Source organism: Homo sapiens, chromosome 4 (assembly GCF_000001405.40).
Source record: "Homo sapiens chromosome 4, GRCh38.p14 Primary Assembly".
NCBI classification, from domain to species: Eukaryota; Metazoa; Chordata; class Mammalia; order Primates; family Hominidae; genus Homo; species Homo sapiens.
The window spans coordinates 156,289,264-156,297,332 of record NC_000004.12 but is presented as its reverse complement, the minus strand read 5'-3'; the positions used below and the strand labels follow the sequence as shown (position 1 = coordinate 156,297,332).

The following is an 8,069-nucleotide window of genomic DNA, read 5'->3' as shown; positions in this document are numbered from 1 at the left end:
AACTGTAGTGTCACCCATTTTTCCGCAAAATATGGGTGTTCCCAGAACTGTCATGACACTGGTGGGTATGAGATTTGTATGTTAATGAGCGTATAATGAGGTCCCATGTGAAACCTATGTCAAATCCAGCCCATGTTGGGTCGAGTCCATCTTAGCCAGCTTGGCCCACACTATTTTTCAGGGTTTTATCAGCCCTTAACTTCTGCAGCTATTTCAACAGTTTCCTTTTGCTAGTCATGTGAACCTGTTGCCTGGAATTTTCCATTCTCTTGTGACTACCCGGTATTATTTCTTTATCATTTTCATTACCTTATAAATGGCCTTGGTCTTCCAAGAGACTGTTTTATGTGAAAATTGAGGAGAAAGAAAAATGGTTATGGGAGATAGAGTTTTTCCCTTCTTTTAAACATACCATTAGTCCCAACATTGTTATCTGTAAAACTGGAAGAGAAGAGTAGGCCAGATGACCACAAACACTTATATAAGCCTAGTAAGATATCAGGGATGCAAATATGTACAACTATTCCATATGATGATAAAAGTTATATAGATGCATATAACATTGATAAAGTTATGGGAGGTGATTTAAGGTCAAAAACAGTAAGAGATAGAAACTCCAGTGGAGGGGTCAGCCTATGGACCAAATCCAGTCTGGTGCTTAAATTTCGTAAAGATAGATTTATTGTACTGTTAGGTTGGTGCAAAATAATTGTGGTTTTTGTCATTACTATTAATGGCAAAAACTGCAATTACTTTTGCATCAATCTAATATAACATGTCCATCATTTAAATATTATCTGTGGCTGCCATTCATACTACAACTGTAGAGTTAAGTAATTGCAACAGAGGCTGTCTGTCTCACAAAGATGAAATGCTTACTATTTGGCCTTTTATAGAAAAAAAGTTGGTTGATCCCTGCTGCAAGGTATGAAAAATGTTGCTATGTTTATTTAGGCTTGAAACTAATCAACTCAGCCAGGGTATGTGCATATCGATGAAAGAGAAAAATATATTAAATGTTCTAGATATACTATCATTTCAATATAGCAAATATTTAAAAAAAATTAGGATGGAATTTGATTAAAAAGATATGTTTATCATTAGTTTTTTTAAATGAATTAACTATTATTTTTAGGGTTTATCATGTATTTATAGTCACATACTCAAAAACTGTTTGGAAATGTCACAGTTACTTTATTTGAAATTTAACGTCTATTCAGTGGATGTTATCTAAACATTTGGAGGCTCTCCAAAAACAAACAGAAAAACAAACAAATAAAACACACTTACATTGAGGAAAATGTGGAATCCAAGGCCCTGGATTTCCTCCATATCATTGATATTGATAAGAGTCAGTGTCATGTTTGTAAATCATGACTGTAAATACATCAGCCATGTAAAGCTGATCACTTTACATTGTGATGAACTTTACATGCACCTTACTAGGATTAGACCAGCACTGTATGATTGCATAATCATGTGTTATTCATTCTGAAGTGGCAAGCAGAATATTTAAAATGCAAGTACAGAAACATGTTAAATAAATGGAGAAGAGAACATTAATTTTTAGGAGGTTTCTTCTCAGTTGAATGCCTTCCACCCACCACCCTAAATAACAAAGAATAAAGGGATAGAGTTTTATCTTGCTAGAAACTTCCTAAACAGATAGATAATGTTTACTAAGTATTCTTAGTTATAGTTTAGGTTAATAGTTCATCTAGTTTAGGTTAATATTTCATCTCCTGATATGGTAGGAAGATTTCTATGATTTAACAGAAGGGCTCATCACTGAGTAACAGTTACAACACAGTTTAATTGACATGAAATTAGAGAACATTATTTGAAGCACGAAGAAGGGCAAGTATATCCATCTTTTTTCTACCAATGTTCAGTTATTACAGAATCTCCTGGGCTATCCAGTTACTGCCCAAATTACCTGTTACCATGATAAATTACATTTCAATACAAGATGACCACAAGAATATGGTGAGGAACTGGTGCAAAGAGAGAAGAATGGTGAAAGAAGAATTCAAAGTGAAGGAGAATGGTTAGATTGGTGGGAGGACATGGAGTTAGAACAACAGAAGAATTAAGGAAAGAAAGTAATTACAGTTTGTGTGTGATGATGGTACCTCACTTTGGTATTCAATTACCACCTGGCGTCTGCTATGCAAAGAGTTGTTTAATCAGCTATAACTGTTTATGCTTTGGTATTGACTCAAGTCACATATGCTTTTTATCTGCTGCTAAATATTGAAATTACTTTTGTAACTGTAGATATCCTCAAATCTGATCTCCAATTGCTGTTGAAATTTGGTCAACATAATTTCCATGATGGTGAACACTTACTACTCCATTTTCCTATTAGGTCTTGTTTTCTCCTTTACTCATAATTGTCAACTCACCTGGTGACTGGTGCCCTGAATTTCATGTCCTTTTGATCTTGAATCTGCCACCTGTCTAGTTTTGATTCTACCCAGCTGCTCATATTCAGGCACACTGCCTTCCATGTTTTCCTTTTGCTGCCATCTACTGGAAAACCAATTACTTTATCTCAGACCCTCACTGACAACTTGCTTGAAACTATTTTGTTCCCCATACTTAATGCATTGCGTCAGCTAGAGCTGGGTTAGTTTTCCCGGAAGCCAGCATACCCAAGCTGGTAGATCTGCTCCCATATCTAAGCTGTCTAATGATGCTGCAAGTAGCTAGGGACAAAAATACTAGAAGGCTTGAAATGAAATGGCCATAAAAATGAGACGGTAAAATAGTTTTTTTCTTTCTGTCAATTTTACTGAACATGTTTTTTTTTTTTTAATGTACACATTTTGCCACATTCCCAGGGACCTGCTATCTGGTTACAGAATGCTTACTAACATTAGGCTCTTATTAGCGAGGAGGTCGGTTTCCATGTAGAGTTTATATAAAAGAAGCAAGTTAACATTGGCATTGGAGATAGACAGACTTAACATTTAACTCTAACATCAACATTAATAAGCAGTATTAATGAGGAATAATTAGGTATTTCTAAGTCTCAGTTTCTTATCTTTAAAGTTGTGGTTATATTACTGTCTAATAAAATTTGTGATAGAATATTTAGGTCAAATTATGTTAAAGCAAAATGAAACCATCCCCTTCATCTTTTTCTAGACATAGTTCTGGTCTATGACATCATCCCTGTATTTATCTCTCTTTCCAGCTTAGGCAAATTCTTTGTCTATAGGGAATGATGATTCATGTATGTCATGGCCTAACTGGACACAAGCCAAAGGAAAAAACAGAATCTACAAGTAAAATGGAAAAGGCTCTCAGGTTCTTTAGTACAGACAGAATAATCATGTCATTTTTTTAAACCATTAATATGCAATTTACGAGAACTTGCATTTCAGTGATTTATACTATACCTCCAGGTTTTGATTTTAAGCTTTAAAAAGCCATGTTTAAATCATCAGAAGAGACATAGCTGATCAAGTTGAAAGAAGCCAGTTTCTAAGAAAAGCTCATTAATGGACTCTAAACCTAGTGACATTTGTCAGCAATGTTGTTCTTTCTATTCCTTTGGCAAACACAGTGCTAAAAGTGCTTGATGATAATTATAGAATACAGCTCTAATTGAAAAAGAAATGCTTGAATATTTGAATGGTTACTGGTACTCTTATCCTATCTATGCCTCCATGAAAAATCCTGTTGAACATTTGCCAACTTGAATCAGGACCCACTTCATGTGGAGTAGATTAATTTACCCTTACAATCCCCATGCATTAATAAACTTGGTCAACAAAAATGGCAAGGTGGCAACTGTAATGATTTAGGCTCAGAATTTCTTGGATATTGTTTTTTGTCAATGTAAATAACTAGAATAAAGTTTAAATGCTGCAAATTAAGAAAATTCTTTTCATGATAAGGTTAATGCTCACCTTGAAATCTGATATTTTCAAAACATATCTGCACAATTATCTTATAATTATTCAAGTACATTATGAGGATATTTCATATCCTTCCAGTGAGAACAAGAGTTGAGAGAATTTATTGCAATGCGGTAAAGAAAGTGAAAAAATATTGATTTCTGAGTCTTTCAAATGCTTTTATCTTCACATCCCTTTATATTATTTAATCTCAGTGTCTCAGTCTGTTTGAGCTGCCATAACAAAATACCAGAGATTGGGTGGCTTAAGTGGCCGATATTTATTTCTCACAGTTCTGAGGCTGGAAGTCCAAGAACAAGGTGCCAGCTGTCTCAGGTCCTGGTGAGTGCTCTCTCTCTCTGACTTGCAGATGGTGGCCCTTCTTGCTATGTCTTCACAGGGCAGGGAGAAAGACAAAGGGAGCTCTCTAGTGTCTCTTATAAGAACAAGCACATTAGGCCAGGCATGGTGGCTCACGCCTGTAATCCTAGCACTTTGGGAGGGTGAAGTGGGCGGATCACCTGAGGTTGGGAGTTCGAGACCAGCCTGACCAACATGGAGAAACCCCAGCTCTACGAAAAATACAAAATTAGCTGAGTGTGGTGGCGCATGCCTGTAATCCTAGCTACCCGGGAGGCTGAGGCAGGAGAGTCGCTTGAACCCAGGAGGCAGAGGTTGCAGTGAGCCAAGATCGAGTCACTGCACCCCAGCCTGAGCAACAAGAGTGAAACTCCATCTCAAAAAGAAAAAAAAAAAAAAAGAACAAGCACATTAATTCTATTGGAGCGGAGCAGGGCTGCACCCTTAGGACTTTGTGTAACTTTAATCACCTCTTAAAGGTCCTGTCTCCAAAGATAGTAATATTTGGGGTTAGGGCTTTCACACAGAGTGGGATACCTTGACCATAACACAAAACTCAGAGAAAAACATTGTGCCAGTAACAAATGACTTTTTTCTAAAATGTTAGAAATTTGTTTCCTGGAAAAATAAAATAAAATGTAAGGAAATAACTAAAAATCAATATGTTAAAAATTATATGAGGAAATTTATGTGCTTTGATATATCCACATTATCAAGCAGTGTTTTCAATGCTTTTTATATCATTTTAGGAGAAAGAGAACACTCAAAATATACGTAAGGATAATCTAAGAATATTTAAATTAAGACATTTGAAATTAAGCCGGTAGCAACTAAGAAGTAGGGAGGCAGACATAGATTGTCATAATTTCAAGATATCAACAGATATGAATAGAAGGCTTATTTGAAATTAACAGAACTTAAATTTCTTTATTATTAGCACAGAAATTTCACATATGTTATCTAATTTCATCCCACAACATTTCTCTGAAAATAAAACATTTCAAGTAGAAGTATTATTTCCTACTCTCTTGAGGAAAGTATAGTCTAAAATGATCATGAATTTGTTAAAGTTCCATTAATATGTGGAAACTTGTCAAATCATTCGGGTAACTATTTAAGTAAGGCTTCTAACTGTAAACACTATCAACTTTTGTGCTGCATTTTGTTAAGAACATTAAGATTATTAGTGGGAAAAACCAGCTAAGTAAATTTCAATCAAATTAAGGATATTCACTCAGCTAGCTACCGAATTATTCTTAAACTGTTAATTTTATCCTGTGTGTTGTCACTAAGACCTCTTCTCCTCTCCTTACTTTTTTTGTTCTTACTCTAATTCCTCTGATTGTTAACTGAAAAGAACATTTTCCTCCTCAAAGGGAAATAGAGAAAATCTGTAAGCTATTTTATTTGCTTTTAGTCATAAATTACTCGTGTGTGTGACTTACTATCAATGATCTTTCTTTAAGGAATGCTGTGCATCTGAAGTACTGCTATAGTTCCCTGGAATTACTCCATAAATGACTCTTTCTGGTGCTTACAACCTCTTATCTCCACAGCACTCATCACTCAGTGCCAGGGCAGTGGATTTGCACCAATATGATTTGCAACTATGAACAGAACCCTCTTTGTTTCTGTTTAAATAATTACATCAATCTTGTCCTGCCTGTGCATTGGAATGAGTTTTAACATAAAGATGGAGAGATTCTACATGCAATTTGAAAATAATGCTGGCAAATAGCTTTGTGACTTATTGTTTAAACCAAGCACACATTTGTTTAAGATATTTAATTAAGCCAAAGAATAGCCATGTTGTAGAATTAGGGGAAAAAAAGGCAAAATATATTTGTACACATTCAAAAGTCTGAAACATAACATTTTATAAATATGTATTCCTTTAACTTGGTTTCACCATTAAATGAATCTTCTTTTAGGAACACAATGCTTGTCTTGGCTCCATTAAAATTCATTCCTAGAGTACGAGTAAAGGAGTTTTTCCCACTATAAGTCGCAGGCTTCTTCCAGCTTAACCTAATAAAAATAATAACTTATTTCTGTTGTAAAGAGCCACTGCCCATAGTTGTGGTCAGAGATTTGAGGATGGGAGGTTGTTAACAAAAGTACAGAAGATCCTTAGGTATTCTCAGTTACAAGTACAAGAGAAATGAACCAATGAATTTATGTGGAGAGGGTTCCATAAGGCTACTCCTATTAAGCAATTGAGCATAAGAAATTAGTAGACAGCATTAAATTATGCCACAAACTTTTTCTTAAAGCAAAAGCGCTATGATAAAGAGGAGACATGTTGTATAATGAAAGGTTAAAACCAAAGCAAGTGCATAAAATCTAAATTTTTTCATCTTTCCTAATAAAGTTAACAATTTTTTCTTAGTGTTAAAATATACTGTGGTAAGAAATAAATGATGGAGAGTTGGGACTAGAGCAGGAAGAAAGCTGACCTAACTTGGACAATGGCCGAATAGGAACAGCTCCGGTATACAGCTCCCAGCGTGAGTGACGCAGAAGACGGGTGATTTCTGCATTTCCATCTGAGGTACCGGGTTCATCTCACTAGGGAGTGCCAGAGAGTGGGCGCAGGTCAGTGGGTGCACGCACCGTGCGCGAGCCGAAGCAGGGCGAGGCACTGCCTCACTTGGGAAGTGCAAGGGTCAGGGAGTTCCCTTTCCGAGTCAAAGAAAGGGGTGACGGACGCACCTGGAAAATCAGGTCACTCCCACCCGAATATTGCGCTTTTCGGACTGGCTTAAAAAACGGCGCATCACGAGATTATATCCCGCACCTGGCTCGGAGGGTTCTACGCCCACGGAGTCTCGCTGATTCCTAGCACAGCAGTCTGAGATCAAACTGCAAGGCGGCAGCGAGGCTGGGGGAGGGGCGCCGGCCATTGCCCAGGCTTGCTTAGGTAAAAAAAGCAGCCTGGAAGCTCGAACTGGGTGGAGCCCACCACAGCTCAAGGAGGCCTGCCTGCCTCTGTAGGCTCCACCTCTGGGGGCAGGGCACAGACAAACAAAAAGACAGCAGTAACCTCTGCAGACTTAAATGTCCCTGTCTGACAGCTTTGAAGAGAGCAGTGGTTCTCCCAGCAGGCAGCTGGAGATCTGAGAATGGGCAGACTGCCTCCTCAAGTGGGTCCCTGACCCCTGACCCCCGAGCAGTGTAACTGGGAGGCACCCCCCAGCAGGGGCACACTGACACCTCACACAGCAGGGTACTCCAACAGACCTGCAGCTGAGGGTCCTGTCTGTTAGAAGGAAAACTAACAAACAGAAAGGACATCCACACCAAAAACCCATCTGTACATCACCATCATCAAAGACCAAAAGTAGATAAAACCACAAAGATGGGGAAAAAACAGAACAGAAGAACTGGAAACTCTAAAACGCAGAGCGTCTCTCCTCCTCCAAAGGAACGCAGTTCCTCACCAGCAACGGAACAAAGCTGGATGGAGAATGACTTTGACGAGCTGAGAGAAGAAGGCTTCAGACAATCAAATTACTCTGAGCTACGGGAAGACATTCAAACCAAAGGCAAAGAAGTTGAAAACTTTGAAAAAAATTTAGAAGAATGTATAACTAGAATAACCAATACAGAGAAGTGCTTAAAGGAGCTGATGGAGCTGAAAACCAAGGCTCGAGAACTACGTGAAGAATGCAGAAGCCTCAGGAGCCGATGCAATCAACTGGAAGAAAGGGTATCAGCAATAGAAGATGAAATGAATGAAATGAAGCAAGAAGGGAAGTTTGGAGAAAAAAGAATAAAAAGAAATGAGCAAAGCCTCCAAGAAAT

General features: G+C 37.7%; 1 annotated feature.

The window, feature by feature from the left end:
• Nucleotides 7,043-7,654: an enhancer, noted in NCBI's record as "OCT4-NANOG-H3K27ac-H3K4me1 hESC enhancer chr4:157210831-157211442 (GRCh37/hg19 assembly coordinates)". NCBI's record gives its function as "activates a minimal SCP1, AML or CMV promoter by ChIP-STARR-seq in primed H9 embryonic stem cells {active_cell/tissue: H9 hESC(primed)}" and the evidence as "EXISTENCE:reporter gene assay evidence [ECO:0000049][PMID:30033119]".